Consider the following 16,169-nt stretch of genomic DNA (forward strand, 5'->3'; position numbering starts at 1 on the left):
TCAAACCATTTCTGGATGCCTATGCTTCCTTCTGGTGCTTAATGAACTTGAAATGTCATCTAATGAGAGTGTTGTTAACCTCTGGCCCCAGGCTCTGATGACTCTTTCCAACCTCTTATTTTCCTTCCCCTTTAGAAATTATTATTCTATTATTACAGGATGTCTGGAAAATAAGAAAGAAGTCCAACTCCCACACATTACCATTCCTCAACCCTGGTTTTCCTTTCTTTTTTTTTTCCTTCGCTTTTCCTTCCATTCATTTCACAAACATTTATTGACAAATAAGTGTTGATAATTCCTGGCAAGCTAGGTATTTTGCTAATTGCTGGGAATAAAAGAAACACTAATTGAGTATCTAAACCTGCTGTTTGATCTTCCTACTTCTTTTCTATCTCATTTCCATTAACAGGGCTGATTTTCTCTTTGAATTATTTGAATTGCATTGCTAAAACACTTTGTTATTTCAAGCTAATACAGAAACAACCTTTTCACACATGCAATTGTCTTTTCCACCCATTTATCTCAATTAATGAGCAAGTTCATATGCATGCTGTTTACATTATCTTTCACCTTTTTTTTTGGCATTTGAGTCACTGTTTAATCTTTTAAAGTTCATTTATATACTCTAATCCACTGAATCAAAATTAACAATCTTTTTTAACTGGGCCTCAAGGTCCTAGTTTATTCATTATTATTCTGTTTAACTTTCTTAAAAATTAGCCCATTTATTTATCAAAACTCTGTAAACTATCAGTTGAAAGCCAAAACAGAACCATAGAAGTAAACACTGTATTTCTCTATCACACCAAAGTCAATCAAGAGTCATTCTTCTCTGTAACTCTGTTTGGTCTATGTTGTTTATGCAAGGGGCTTATCTTTCGTGTGGGGAAAGCAGGCCCAATATTCACACTACTTCCCTCAAATTTGAAAGTTTTCAGTGTTCCCTTGTCCTCTTCCAATTCTCATGTGCAATTCTTGACATGTCTCTATTTTGATAATAAAATCCCTGATCTAGATCTTGGTCATTTGGAACTTTGCCATACTGTAATAGTTTTTAAAGAGTGATTCTCATTTTATAACACTGACATCACTCATTTTTCAAGAGGAAACAAAAAACAAACAAAAGACAAATTTCAAATGATCAATTTTTGACCTATTTTAAGCCTGTAAGATCTAAAACTCTATGAATAAGATTAAACCATCCCATAAGTATTTGTAGTGAGTTATATGGTATGGGTAGGTATAGACAGAGAGAGAAAAAATTCTTTTTTTTAAATTATAATGTCCTTATGAAGAAAATGAAGTGATGTGCTATCTTTTACTAGGCCTTCTAGGAATCAGGCAGTCAGCTATAAGGGCCACCACTTTACTGCACTTATTTCTCATTCCAATAATGTAGAGTGTGGTGACATTGAAAGGAAGTGTTGAATAGTGTCTCTTTTAAGTAGTAATAACATCAGGAAACTCAATCTGGTCATGAAAATGGAAAAAAAAAGTATCGTGACACATTCTCTCTAAGGAAATGGCAGCTATTAGAAATGGAATGTGTTACATTTATGAGAAAGGGTCTTGTCTGAGAAGGTATACTGCTTCAGCACACACAGCAACAAATATTGTCATATATGAAGTATGATGCAGATGAAATAGCCCACGCTCCCATTTTATACCACGTTGTTCAGACATTTATTTATATACTGTAAAAATTCTGCATTCTACAATTAAATGACTTTGTAGAAGGCTTAGAGCAGACATACAAATCAATTAAGGGATTGCAAACATGCTGGAGAAATGTAAACATATTTTTTATATGTCAACTTAGGCTTTTTATATATTTAGTGAAAAGACCCACATAGAACTTGAAATAAGCTACAGCAACAATGATTTAGGCTAGATAGAAGAAAGGATGCCTGGGGGTGGTGCTGTAAAATTGCCTCTGAAAGTCATTGGTTGGGACAGTTTCATTATGATCATTTGAGTACAAGGATATAAATTAGAAAAGCTGTTTTCTAGCCCTATTTTTAAAGAAACATCAGATTAAAATTAATATAATTATTAGCATATGGATTGATTTTCTTGACATAAACATCAAATATAATAAAATAGTCATAAAGCAAGTTACTACTGTAAAGTGTTTATTGAAGGCATACTGATTTGATTTTTTTTTAAAGTTAGGATTTTTTTCCCCACATAATTAACATTGGTGACAGTTTTACCTTTTTTTTTTTTTTTTTTTAAATTAGAGGAACTGCAAATTTCTGTCTGCAAAGCACCCTTCTACTGGACATGTTCATACTTCATTATGCATAATTATTATGGGAGGGCAGGATGATGGGATAAAAAGGTATCTGAATTATGAATCAGGGCACTGTGGTTCTGCTGTCCTCTCTTCTATTAGCTAGAGGTGTGACCTTGGACAGGTCACTTTTAAATCCCATTTCTCAGCTTCTTGTAGACAACCTCAAGCCATTGTTAGAGGAGACCATCTCTTATGTTCTTTCCTTCTCTGAAATTCCATTTGGAGATTTTAATTAAATCATAATTTAGATAAGTCAGTATTTTATCTTCCACATATATAAAAAGTAGATTCTTTTTCTCATATTTAAGAAGTTTTAACACAAATTGTCAGTGAATAGTTAAAATTTATCAATATAAGTTATTCTAGCATAAAATTTGAGAATAGCTAATATAGCAGATGGTCACCTTGTACTATATAAAAACTTATAATGAAAACAGTTACTTCATTTCTTATGATCCAACTGTCAAAATAGCTCTCCATCTTTCACTTAGTATATTTTGTATTCATCTAATAGATTTGAAAATGTACATGAATATTTCTTCCCTTTATGTACCATTTTATTTCTATAAAATGATGAATTTTATTATAAATATTCAGAAATATAACAGTATCTTATGCATTATAAGTCCACACTTTTTCGGTCATTACTAAACTTCTTTTCTAATATATTGTACATTTAAACATTTAAGATTACCTTGAAGAGACTACAGTCAGGTGGAAATGTAATTTTACGATTACATAAGTAAGGACACAAACAGTTTCCATATGACTGGAGTGATTTCTGGCTGCCTTAAAAGAGTTATAATGAGTGTCAGTGTCATTGAGATTGACTTCAGTTATTCAAAATATTACACAAAATGTGACCGGAGCAAGCAGTGAATCCAGGAAAATTAATATAAACTAAATTCGATTCCGACATTTAAATTTCCAAAACTCAGATTAAATACTATTTAGGACAGAAATAATTCCTGAAATTTCACGTGTTTACTTTTTTTTTTTAAATGAACCTTTTAAGCTGTACAGGAGAAGCTTGACATATGATTGAAACTGGCTTGGGTAAAATAATAAGAAATTCAATCTTCGTAGTTTTAAATGAGACACAAAATACTCTTTGGAGACTGATTATTAAGCACAAGTCACTCGGGTGCTTTCTACTCTCCCTGTTGGCAAAGGAAGGTAGGGGAGGAATTCATTTACACCTCACACTGATGTGTGAGAAAATGTATTTGTTTCACGTTATGCCAAGAAATAGGAAAACTGATCCGACAGCTCAATTAATAAATAAGTTAAACGTAAAAAGGGATAAAAATAAAATCTTACTTTATGGAGGAAAAGAGTTAAATCTATATGGAGCCTGTTTTAGAACTGACAGTTTGCTAAAACGAATTGACTCAGAATTTTCTACTTATCAAACATTTTCCACTTCTGATTTTATGGCTTTGCTCTAAAACCTAGGAAGTCACCAACTCCGTGCAAGATGCTAACATTTATCTCAATCTTTCTGCCTCTTCAAAGACCGCCTCAAAGCATAAAGATAGTCCATAGCGTCTTACCTAGACAACGAGGAGCTGAAACGCCAAGGCATGACACTGCTCAACACTCAGGCTAGGAAAGAAGTCCGTCCCCGTTAGTTTCTCCAAAATCTAAGTTCCCATTTCGTGGTTGAGATCATGGCTCTATTCTGAGCAGTTTCACGCAGTGTGTGAGTCTAACAAAAACACCCTCTGCAGCTGGAGGGAGCCTTAGCTAAGGCAGGATCCTGTCAAGGCATTCCTAGTGACTTCTGTCTACTAAATTCAGACTGAGGTTTTGCAAAAGGGGCCTCCACAACCAGGCCCAGATTGCCTGGAAAGTATTTCCTGCCTCTGAGGAGTGTGCATGCTAGAAAGGCTGTACGAAGAGAGGGGAGGAGGGGAGAGCCCAGCCGCCTGGGCGTTTTAGGAGTTCTGATTTTACACAGAACTCAAGTGAGTTTTGTCAAAGCTCTTGAGGTGATTAGCTGTAGAGTCATAAAGTCCTAGAGCTTTTTCTATCCCACACTGCTTATGAAAAAAGAAAGAAAGAAAGAAAGAAAACGTAGTTTTCTCTCTATCCACAACCTTTCCACTATATTAAATGTATATGCACAGCTTAATCAAAATGCCTGTGCTTGCTCTCATTTCAAAAGATCTTTTAAGAGAGCAAGATGAATTTAGCCTTAATACCATAATTCTTCTAAATGGCAAAACCTTTTTTGAACATGACTTAAAATTGGAAATGCTGCAGCTTTTCATTCTGTCCCTGAGACCATCTGTAAGTAAAATCCCAAGCATCCAGTTAATAGAACGATTTCTTCCAGATCTCTCTGATCACAAGAATCCTTCACAGAATTAAAATAGTTCGTGTTATGGCAAATGCAGCAGCGCATTACCTCTAGTCAGAATCCTCCAGTTACAAAAATCCAGTGCTGGAGCAGAAGACAGGCTCCATCTTGATCGTATTAGAGTCTTGCTGACATTAAACACTTACAACTGCTTCCATCTAGCATGGCAGCGTTCCTGAATCACATCTCTAAAGCCGCTCATGGTATCTGCATCCTTCGTCCGTCACAAATTTTGTGAACTATCATCTGTTTATCTTTTCTGCTTTCTTGTGCCTCCCTTGAATGACTTCCTCCTAGCTGCTCCAGGTTGGGAATTTGGACTACCATTTGGTTTTGATTAAAACCAGACAGGCAACTCTGGAGAATTTAGGGAATAAGCTAATGGAAACTGCAAGTATGGCTTTAATTAGTGCATCAATTAATAATAGATGTTAGCTCGTCTTATAATAAGATATCACAAATACAAACACAGAGGAAGCTGAAGTCGTTTCAGGAAAAAAGTTACACCAATTTTCCTTCCTTTATGACCCAGAATCCTCTTTAGAGAATGTGGAAGGAAAGAAGAGGGAGGTGGTTTTGGGACATCCAGGCTGTGGAGAGGCCAGTAGAGCAGCTTCATTGTTTATACCAGGGAAGCAGGAAACAGCATCTCTGACTTTAATTATCTTGCTTGGTGGAAATGGCTCAGTCATGTCTCCCTTCTACTTTATTTACAATCAATGGATTTCGCTGCTATTTATGACTCAAGCATTTTTTTGGGGGGGGACTGATGATCAGATTAATTATTAGGTCTATCTGCTTCTTGCAAATTTCTAGAAGCTTTCAATAATAGGAAGTGCAAGAATAATTCCAGTTGGATGTGATAAAATGAGTAACATATAAAGAGGTAAAAGACATCTTAAACTTGTTGGCCCTAAGATCTATCCTGTTCTTCTCTGAAATTGTAAGTAGTTTTCATTGTTCACTGTTATTCTCCATCCCTGTATATCACAAGGGCTATCTTGTAGTACTTTTTGATAATATTGGGTAGGTGATAACTCAAAGATGCACAAGGTTCTAACTACTATTTTTTTCCTTATTAGGTAGCTAAAATCTCTCAAAGTTAATGCAAATCATGAACCATATTAGACCCATGTTAGATGGCAAGAATGACTTATACTGTGCATGAGTTTGAAGATGAGAAGTAGTCAAATAAAAACGTTTGGTCAGAAGCAGCTTTAAAAGTTTAGATCAAAGTCTTATTGACTAAAAACATGAGCATTTAGGTTTCTTTAATTTAATCTTCAACCATAGGCCAAGAAAGAAGTCTGTTCTTCCATAAATTCTTTAAAAAGTATTTATATTTATATTCAAAGTGTTTCTACTGACAGTATGCCTATTTAATCTTTCCAACAATTTTGCGTGTATTCATATGTTTTATTTTACAAATAAAGTATTGAGAAGCAATTTTCTCACAGTCAAATGATACAAAGTGCCCAGGTCCACACTGGAACTCAGATATTCTAGCTCCAAGCTTTGTGCTTTAATTTTTTCTCCATAAACTGCCTTCCTTGACTTCCACTTAATTTCTTTATTAAATTGGGAAGACTTCTTAAACTCTAATAGTTTCTCTTTAAAAATAGAGACAATTTCACATAACTTATAGATTGGAAAGCAGGATGAAATTTATATGCAGAAATATTTGTGTATTTATGTTTATTTCCCTAAGAAAAACACTGGAGAAGAAAGGAATGAGAACTGATATTATGTCTTTCCTAATATAACTTGATATCTCTATCTCTGTCACTGCCTTTAGTACTGATATACAGTGGTTACTCAATATTATATCAGCATCATGCTAATTCTTAGCTACATTTTATTCATGAATACTGTACCCCGCGCCATATACTTTAGTTTTGTTTCTATTTCTATTGGCTTGGGAAAACAAGAAAACTCTGTTCACAAATGCCTTTTAGATATCTAGAAACTCTTGTTAGTAAGTTTCTCATAAACATACCCTTTTCTACACAAAAAATACATTATGTTTTCTTCTATTAATAGGATTACTTCCCAAATCTTTAATTACTTATATTTATTTTTCATTGTTGAGTTGCTTGATTCCAAACAAATCTCAGATCTTATAGTCTTATAAAGGCTTTACCAAATATGAGTGTAAAGATAAATAGTGAGAAAACTTCCTAAGTACTTAGTATTGTGTCAGGAACACTGAAGGAGTTCAAAATATTTGTCCCCTTCTTTCTACTTGCAAATCTAAATACCAACTTCCTTAAATGTTTGACTGTTACTCTGTACTGGATCAGCTAATCAAATAAGGGGACAGGGACAGTTAAGAACTTGAAAACAAAGTATCAGGATAGGAGTCTGCTCCAAAACTAACAGCTTTTGTGACCTGTGTGAGTTACCTAACCGGGGTGAGGATGTCTTAGCTTCCATAACTAAGAATTGTCACAATGCAAAAAGCTAGTCCATATAAAGCCATTAGCTAGAATTATTTTTACCACTTAAATTATTGCCTTTTTTAATGTTTACATCTCTCTTTCAGGTATTTTTAGAATCTTTCTCTCTCTTCTATTGAACTCCAAGTTAAATGTATACATGTGAAACCGTTATAGTGGTGGAACAATTATGTACTCTGTGGAAAGAAGAATAGCAGGAGGTGGATTAAATGGTATTTTAAAGATCACCTTTCTTTTTTTTGTTTTTGTTTTTGTTTTTGAGACAGAGTCTGGCTCTGTTGCCCAGGCTGGAGTGCAGTGGTGGTGATCTCGGCTCAAGGCAACCTCCGCCTCCTAGGTTCAAGCAAATCTCCTGCCTCCATCTCCTGACTAGCTGGGATTACAGATGCACTCCACCACACTTGGCTAATTTCTGTATTTTTAGTAGAGACAGGGTTTCATCGTGTTGGCCAGGGTGGTCTTAAACTCCTGACCTCAAGTGATCTGCCTGCCTCGGCCTCCCAAAGTGCTGGGTTTAGAGGCGTGAGCCACTGTGCCTGGCCTAAAGATCTCTTTTCTACTTAGGTACTTTTACCTAAACAATAAACATTAGCTATGATCATTTATCTAGTCATTTCCCAATCATTTTCAGGAAAGTTGAATCTGGACTTCTGTACAGAATTATTCAGTGTCTCTCATGCAGTTCAAGAACATTTTATGTAAAGCAAGATCTATCCTTTGAAAATAGTGTTTTACTCTTTTATGAAATAAGTAGCAACATCATTAATTCAGTCACATTAGACATTTGTGATATTATGCGTGGAAGTCAGCTTTTATGTTTTCCATTTTTGTTAATGAATATGTTTATAATAGCAATGAACTTGAAATTAATATATAAAGAGAATAAATACCTTGAAAGTATTTTGAAATATCTACATGCATACAGTTAGTGTAATAAATGTTAAGAACACTTTGTCCATGAAAATTATTCGTCTAAAAATCTCTAAAAATTTGCTTGTAATTTATTGAAGTTACTGTATTGGAAACAATAAAAGTAGAATTTATCAGATTTTCTAATTTATTTTTTCAGTAAGCTTTACATGTGTTTTCTTTTTTTAAAAATATATTATCAAGAATTTTTTTATTATTTACTTTTTTTATTATACTATAAGTTCTAGGGTACATGTGCACAACATGCAGGTTTGTTACATATGTATACATGTGCCATGTTGGTGTGCTGCCCCCATCAACTCGTTATTTACATTAGGTATATCTCCTAATGCTATCCCTCCCCCCTCCCCAGATGTAGTCTCACTCTGTCGCCCAGGATGGAGTGCAGTGGCGCAATCTCGGCTCACTGCAAGCTCCGCCTCCTAGGTTCACGCCATTCTCCTGCCTCAGCCTCCCAAGTAGCTGGGACTACTGGCACCCGCCACCATGCCCAGCTATTTTTTTTGTATTTTTAGTAGAGACGGGGTTTCACCGTGTTAGCCAGGATGGTCTCGAGCTCCTGGCCCTGTGATCCACCCGCCTTGGCCTCCCAAAGTGCTGGGATTACAGGTGTGAGCTGCCGCTCCTGGCTCATGTGTTTTCTTTAAATAAGTTCACTTTTGTAGACACATCCAGACCAAGAAAAACCATATAATTTGTAGTTTATATTCAATAAGCATCATGCGCATGATTAGTTTTTTGATCAATTTTGTCACAATTTTGACACCCAACTTGGTAACCATATAGTATTTACCTGAAAGCACACATTAAAGGAACACACTTAAGTTTGGTCTTAAATTATCAAAAGTAGCAAAATCATATAAGCTCTCCAAAACCATTGATTCCTGCTTTTTGGACTACTGATGTTCATTATCCCACTTCACTGAAAATTATTACAGTCCAAGAATAGATATGAAAACAAAGTTATCTTGATAAATTTACAAGAAAAAAACAACCCCATCAAATAATGGGCAAAAGATATGAACAGACACTTCTCAAAAGAAGACGTTTATGTAGCAACAGACATATGAAGAAAATGCTCATCATCTCTGGTAATTAGAGAAATGCAAATCAAAACCACAGTGAGATACCATTTCATGCCAGTTAGAATGGCAAACATTAAAACGTCAGGAAACAACAGATGCTGGAGAGGATGTGGAGAAATAGGAACACTTTTACACCGTTGGTGGGAGTGTGAATTAGTTCAATCATTATGTAAGACAGTGTGGCGATTCCTCAAGGATCTACAACTAGAAGTACCATTTGACCCTGCAATCCCATTACTGGGCATATACCCAAAGGATTATAAATCATTCTACGATAAAGACACATGCACACATATGTTTATTGTGGCAATATTCACAATAGAAAAGACTTGGAACCAACCCAAATGTCCATCAGTGATAGACTGGATTAAGAAAATGTGGCACATATACACCATGGAATACTATGCAGCCATAAAAGAGGAAGAGTTCATGCCCTTTGCAGGGACATGGATGAAGCTGGAAACCATCATTCTCAGCAAAGTATCACAAGATCAGAAAACCAAATACCGCATGTTCTCACCCATAAGTGGGAGTTGAACAGTGGGAACTCACGGACACAGGGAGGGGAACATCACACACTGGAGCCTGTAGGGGGTTGGGGGCTAGGGGAGGGATAACATTAGGAGAAATACCTAACGTAGGTGATGGGTTGATGGGTGCAGCAAACCACCATGGCACGTGTATACCTATGTAACAAAACTGCATGTTCTGCAAATGTAACCCAGAACTTAAAGTATAATTAAAAAAAGAAAAAAAGAAACTTAGCAAATAAAAAAAATATTGACACAGACAAGAGGGCACGTATGTCTTAGAAGCGAATGAGTCTGCCTGCCTGTCCTGTAGGGCTAGGGTACCATCAGAAACTCAAAGATTCCCAGCCATGCAAGATTTTGTTTAGAGAGGTCTGTGTGTGCCCTGCCCATAGAGGCTGAGGCTCTTCCTCTGTCAAAGCTTCCTTTTTATGTGAATACTTAAGCTGACATCACCATGTACCACCCTCCAGTCACCACCCTTGTTACATTACACCATAATATTCTCTGAAATCCTCAATTCATGGCCAAAAAAAGGGTCCATATATCTTTAGTATGTTCAAGAAATGTTCCCATCTCTTGCCTGATTGCCCAGCCCATGAGTGATAGACTGGTTAAAGAAAACGTGGTCCATATACACCATGGAATACTTTGCAGCCATAAAAAGGAACAAGATCATGTCCATTGCAGGGACATGGATGGAGCTGGAAGCCATAATCCTCAGCAAACTAACACAGAAACAGGAAACCAAACACTGCATGTTCTTACTCATAAAAGGGAGCTGAACAATGAAAGAACATGGACACAGGGAGGGGAACATCACCCACTGGGGCCTGTTGGAGGGGCTTGGGGAGGGAGAGCATCAGGGTAAATAGCTAATGCACGTGGGGCTTAATACCTAGGTTATGGGTAGATAGGTGTGACAAACCACCGTGGCACACATTTACCTATGTAACAAACCTACACATTCTGCACATGTATCCCAGAACTTAAAATTAAAAAAAAAAAAAGTTCCCTTGCCATGGTTGGCTTAGAGCCCACAGTCTTCAGCTTCTCTTATAAGTCTTTCAAATGGGGCCACGCATTCTCTCCTACACCCTCTGCTCCCCTGGGATAGAAGGTGCAACTGCCTGTCTTCAGTCCCCTCAAAATATGTCCAGATTCCTACTCCTCAGTAAAAGCTCTGCTCTGGTTAAATCTCTGCCTTCTGAGATTCATTCTAACTAGTTCCTCATCCCATACTTCACAATGCAGCACTGTGCAACATTCTCAGCCCACCATTTGGGGGAGTGAAGCAGGTATGAAATGTGACAAAGCCTCGTGTCCTTGAAACAATATTTGTTCCAATTTCTGTTAAAGTACAAATATGCCTGTTCTGTCTTTCCCTTTCAAGTGGAACCATTTGAGAACCTCAGTACACATACCAAGTGAAAATGCTTCATATCCATCCACACATTCAAGTGATATTAACTGTGTATTACTATGTTCATAACACCAGTCTGTGTATTGTCAATGCAGTACCCACATTCAACATGTGTCATATCACAGCTGCACCTTTTTCTTCCCAGGTGAGGCCCTCAAATGGTTCCATTTGAAAGGAAAGACGGAGAAGGGTACATTTGTACTTTAACAGAAATTGGAAGAGATATTTTTTCAAGGTTACGAGCCTTTGTCAGAACTTTATACCTACGACTTCCACCCGCTCCAAAAGGTGGGATGAGAATGTTTCCTGGTACTGCGCAGTGGGGTATGGCATCAGGAGCTGCTGAGAATGAATCTCAAAGGGCAGAGATTTAACCAGAAAAGAGCTTTTACAATGGAGAAGAAATCTGGGATGCCTCGTTAAATACAACCTTACAAACAATGGAACGACTTTGGCCTCATGTAGCTTAAATGGGGGGTACGGAATTGGTAATCAAGAATAAACATAAGTCTGGGAGCGGTGGTTCAGGCCTGTAATCCCAGCACTTTGGGAGGCTGAGGCGGGAAGTTCACCTGAGGTCAGGAGTTCAAGACCAGCCTGGCCAACATGGTGAGACCCTGTGTCTATTAAAAATGCAAAAATTAGCTGGGCATGGTGGTGGGTGCCTGTAATCCCATTTACTCGGGTGGCTGAGGCAGGAGAATCGCTTGAACCCAGGAGACAGAGGTTGAAGTGAGCCAAGATTGTGCCATTGTACTCCAGCCTGGGCGACAAGAGCAAAATTCAGTCTCAAAAATAAATAAATAAACAAATAAATAAATATAAAAATAAATAAAATAAGTAAATTATGTAGTATTATGTAGTATATGGACAATTGCTAGTGAAAACAGAAAATGCAGAGCATGCTAAGGAGGGTGTGGAATGAGGATTGAGGGGCAATCATGTTATATAATTAAATAAGAAACACCAGAGTAAGTCTCACTGCAAAGGTGGCTTATCAGTAATGACTTAAAAAAAGGTGAGAGAGATGACCATATAGATATCTTGGGTCACAGAGTTCCAGGTAGAATGAACAGATAGTGCACAGTCCTAAGGAAGCGTGTGCCTGGCAGTTTCCAGAAATAGCAAGGAATTAATGTGGCTAAAATGGAAGGAGAGAGAGAGGGAGAATATCTCAAGTTGTTAAGGAAAGAAGGTTAGGTAGTGTCTTGTAAGTAAGCAGTTTCAATTTCATTCAGTGAAAGGTAGAGCCCTGGAAAGATTTTGATCAGAGATGTGGCAAGATCTACTTTACATTTTAATAAAATTAGTTGAAAAGAATTTAGAGCCAAAGTAGGGAGACCAGGTCACTGTGGTAATCCAGGTGAGAGATGATGGATAGTGGCTCATGTGAAGGTAATGAGAAATATCAGATTTGAAGCTGTTGTTGTGGTTCATGCTACCAATTTTTTTTAAGAATTAAATTTGCTATATAAGAAGAAAAGAAGAGTCAAAAATGCTTTATGAGCAACTGAAAGATGGAGTCATCATCAATTAAAAAAGGAAATCCTAGAGATAAAGCAAGTCTTGTGAGACAGAGTTCAGAATTTTAGTTTTGGGCATGCTGTGTTTGAGATGTCTATTAGAAATTTCTAGAAGTGTTAAAGAGGCAGTTGGACATATGAATTCAAGTTTGGAAAAGAGATCTGGGCTAGACAAATACATTTGGGAATCTCAAACGTATTTGCAATTTAAAGTACAAAATTAGATGAGATTGACGAGAGGGTGTGTAAATAAAATAAGAAGACAAATACCTAATTGGCTATTAGATTTAAGAAAGCAGAGGTCACTCTTGATATTGAAAGGAACAAGTTCAAAGAATGATATGGAAAAAATTAGCATGGTTTAGAAGAAAATTGAAAGCCAAGATTGGAGACACAAATAAAGGAGAGAAAATACATGGCATGGTAACTATCTGGGACCGTGAGATGCTTTTATTAGGATGGAAGAATAACAGTATATTTGCAAAATTTTGTTCTGTTCTTTTTTTTTTAAATTAATATGGTATGTTCCCAAGGGGGAGGGGAGAAAGTATAGAAATGTTGAAGAGTGAGGAGAGTATAGAAATGTTGAAGTGCATTATTAAGTAGGAGAGAGGGGATGGGATCTAATGCAAAGGGACTGATTTCAGTTGGGAGTGTGACGCATGTGAAAATGTCAGTGGATATTAGATATCATGATTCAGTCACTCAGCTAATCTCAGCTAGCCACCATCACAGTTGTTATCTATTCTATTTATTATTATTATTATTATTATTATTATTATTATTATTATTATTATTGAGTCAGAATCTCACTCTGTTGCCCAGGCTGGAGTGCAGTGGCGCTATCTGGGCTCAATGCAAACTCCGCCTTCAGGGTTCAAGTAATTCTCCTGCCTCAGCCTCCTGAGTAGCTGGGATTACAGGTACCCACCACCATACCAAGCTAATTTTTGTATTTTTAGTAGAGATGGGGTTTTGCCATCTTGGCCAGGCTGATCTCCAGCTCCTGACCTCAAGTGATCTACCTGCCTCAGCCTCCCAAAGTGCTGGTATTACAGGCGTGAGCTATCTATTCTATTAAAACAAATTGTTTTTGTTGTTGCTTTTCGCTATGTATTTTAAAATTTGTACCGTAATAGTCTATTGGTTACATGATATCTATGAAACAAAAAATTGTTTTACAATTTGGCACATAGTCATCTGCATGATTTTTTATCTAATACCAGCTCCTGTATTTCTCTCAATGAAACATGATACATCTGGGTGCAGGAGAACAGTTCCATCTCTTAAAGTTGCAAAGAAAGGCATTGTTTTTGTATACTCTCATTTTCAGGTAGTATATTTCTGTTGTGTTTTTTTTTTCATCTCTGAGCTCTTTTGCCAATTTCTTCTTTTTCATTTTTTCAATTCATCTCTCATTTCTTCCAGACTTCAGTTGCTTTTGGCATTTCTCTTATGTATTTTACCAGGTTTATTGAGAGTTAACTGACACAATAAACTCTACATATTTAAAGTGAACAATTTGATTGCTTTTGACAAATTCATATGCCTGTGATATCATTGCCACAAACAAAATAATGAACATATCCATCACTGTCGAGTTTCCTCCTGCCTCTTTGCCATCTCTCCCTCTTGCTCCTTTCTCCCTTCTTCTGCTCCCAAGGCAACGACTGATCTGCTTTCTGTCACTGCAGATTGGTTTAAATTTTCTAGAAGTTTATGTATATGAAGTCATATGTATGTACCTTTTGTGGCTTCTTCACTTAGCATAATTATTTTGAGATCCATCCATGTTGTTGCATGTATCTGTCCTTTTTACTGTTGATTAGTATTTCATTGGAGGAATATATCACGATTTATTTATCCAGTCATCTGGTGATGGACATTTGGGGCAGTAACATTGGGATATTGTTATTTGGCCATTACAAATCAAGCTGCTATGAATATTCATGTGCAAGTCATTGTATGTATACATTCTTTAATTTCCTTGTGTAAATACCTAGTAGTAAGTGGTAGGACCATTTGGTAGCCATATTTTTACCTTTAACTCTCTAACTGTTTTCTAAGGTGGATATACCATTGTATATTACCACCACCGATTTCTAAGAATTTTTGTTGTTACACATGCATGCCAACAGTTGGTATGATGAGTCTTTTTAGTTTTAGCCATTCTAATAGATGTATGGTCATTTCTCATTGTGGTTTTAACTTTCATTTCCTAACGATTAGTAATGTTGAGAATCTTTTCACATGCGTATTTGTCAGCATATATTTGATCAAGGGTCTCTTCATGTGTTTTGTCCATTTTCCAAAATTGGTTTGTTGGTTTCCTTATGGGAGACCATATATTCTGCATATAAGCTCTTTATCATGTAGGTGATTTGCAAATATTTCTTCTAGTCTAGCTTGTCTTTTAGTTTTCTTTTGAAAATGCCTTTTGAAGAGTAGAAATTTTTAATTTTGATAAATGAAATAACTCTCAAGTGTTTTTTTCTTTTATGGATCATGTTTCTGGTCTCATGGCAAAAAGATCTCTGCCTAATCTAAGATCACAAAGATTTCTCCTACACTATATGCTAGAAGTTTTATAGTATTAGGTTTTACACCTAGGTTCTATGACATATGTAGAGATAATTTTTTATATGGTGAAAGTATGGATCAAAGTTTTTTCTTTTTAAGTATGGACATGCAATTGTTCCAAAACCATTTGTGACAATTCTTTTCCCATGGAATTTTCTTTGCACCTTTAACAAAAATCAATTGACCAACTATGTGTCTTCCTGTTTCTAAATTCTCTATTCCATTCTCTTAATCTATTTTTCTATCGCATACAATACCACACTGCATTAACTATTATAGCTTTACAATAAGTTTTACACCAAGTATTATAAGTATTCAAGTTTGTTATTCCTTTTTAAAGTAGTTTTGGATAATCTAGGGCCATTGTAATTCTGCATGAATTTAAGAATCAGCTTGTCCATTTCTGTAAAAAAGACTGTTGGGATTTTGATCAATTTATTATTTGGATCAATTGCAGGAAAACTGACATCTTGATAATATTGAGTCTTCTATTCCATGAGCATAATGTATTTTCTTTTATTTAGTTTTCTAGTTTCTCAGGAGTGTTTCCTGCTTTTTACTGTAAGAATATTGTATATTCTTTGTCAGAATTATCTCTAGTACTTTATATTTTGAAGACTATTGTAAATGTATTTTTAAAAATTCTATGCAGCCATAAAAAAGGATGAGTTCATGTCCTTTATAGGGACATGGATGAAGCTGGAAAACATCATTCTGAGCAAACTATCGCAAGGACAGAAAGCCAAACACCGCATGTTCTCATTCATAGGTGGGAATTGAACAATAAGAACACATGGACACAGGAAGGGGAACATCACACACCAGGGCCTGCCAGGGGGTTGGGGGACAGGGGAGGGATAGCATTAGGAGATATACCTAATGTAAATGACGAGTTAACGGGTGCAGCACACCAACATGGCACATGTATACATATGTAACAAACCTGCACGTTGTGCACATGTACCTTAGAACTTAAAGTAAAAT

At 36.3% G+C, this 16,169-nt stretch overlaps 1 protein-coding gene across 6 annotated transcripts in view; it reads right to left on the minus strand.

Moving 5' to 3' along the window:
- Positions 1-16,169, minus strand: part of DLC1 (DLC1 Rho GTPase activating protein) — a 521,260-nt gene that overhangs the window by 427,392 nt on the left and 77,699 nt on the right. For 2 of the 6 annotated variants that reach the window (NM_001413124.1, NM_001413125.1), the window contains exon 1: positions 4,707-4,899. The exons of 2 other annotated variants lie outside the window; for them this stretch is intronic. The gene's annotated coding sequence lies outside the window, so the exon portion shown is untranslated. Of the gene's footprint in view, positions 1-3,849; positions 4,100-4,706; positions 4,900-16,169 lie in introns of those variants that run through there. 2 more of the 6 variants (NM_182643.3, NM_024767.5) reach the window with 1 other exon arrangement.

This window comes from Homo sapiens, chromosome 8 (genome assembly GCF_000001405.40).
Source record: "Homo sapiens chromosome 8, GRCh38.p14 Primary Assembly".
Lineage (NCBI taxonomy): Eukaryota > Metazoa > Chordata > Mammalia > Primates > Hominidae > Homo > Homo sapiens.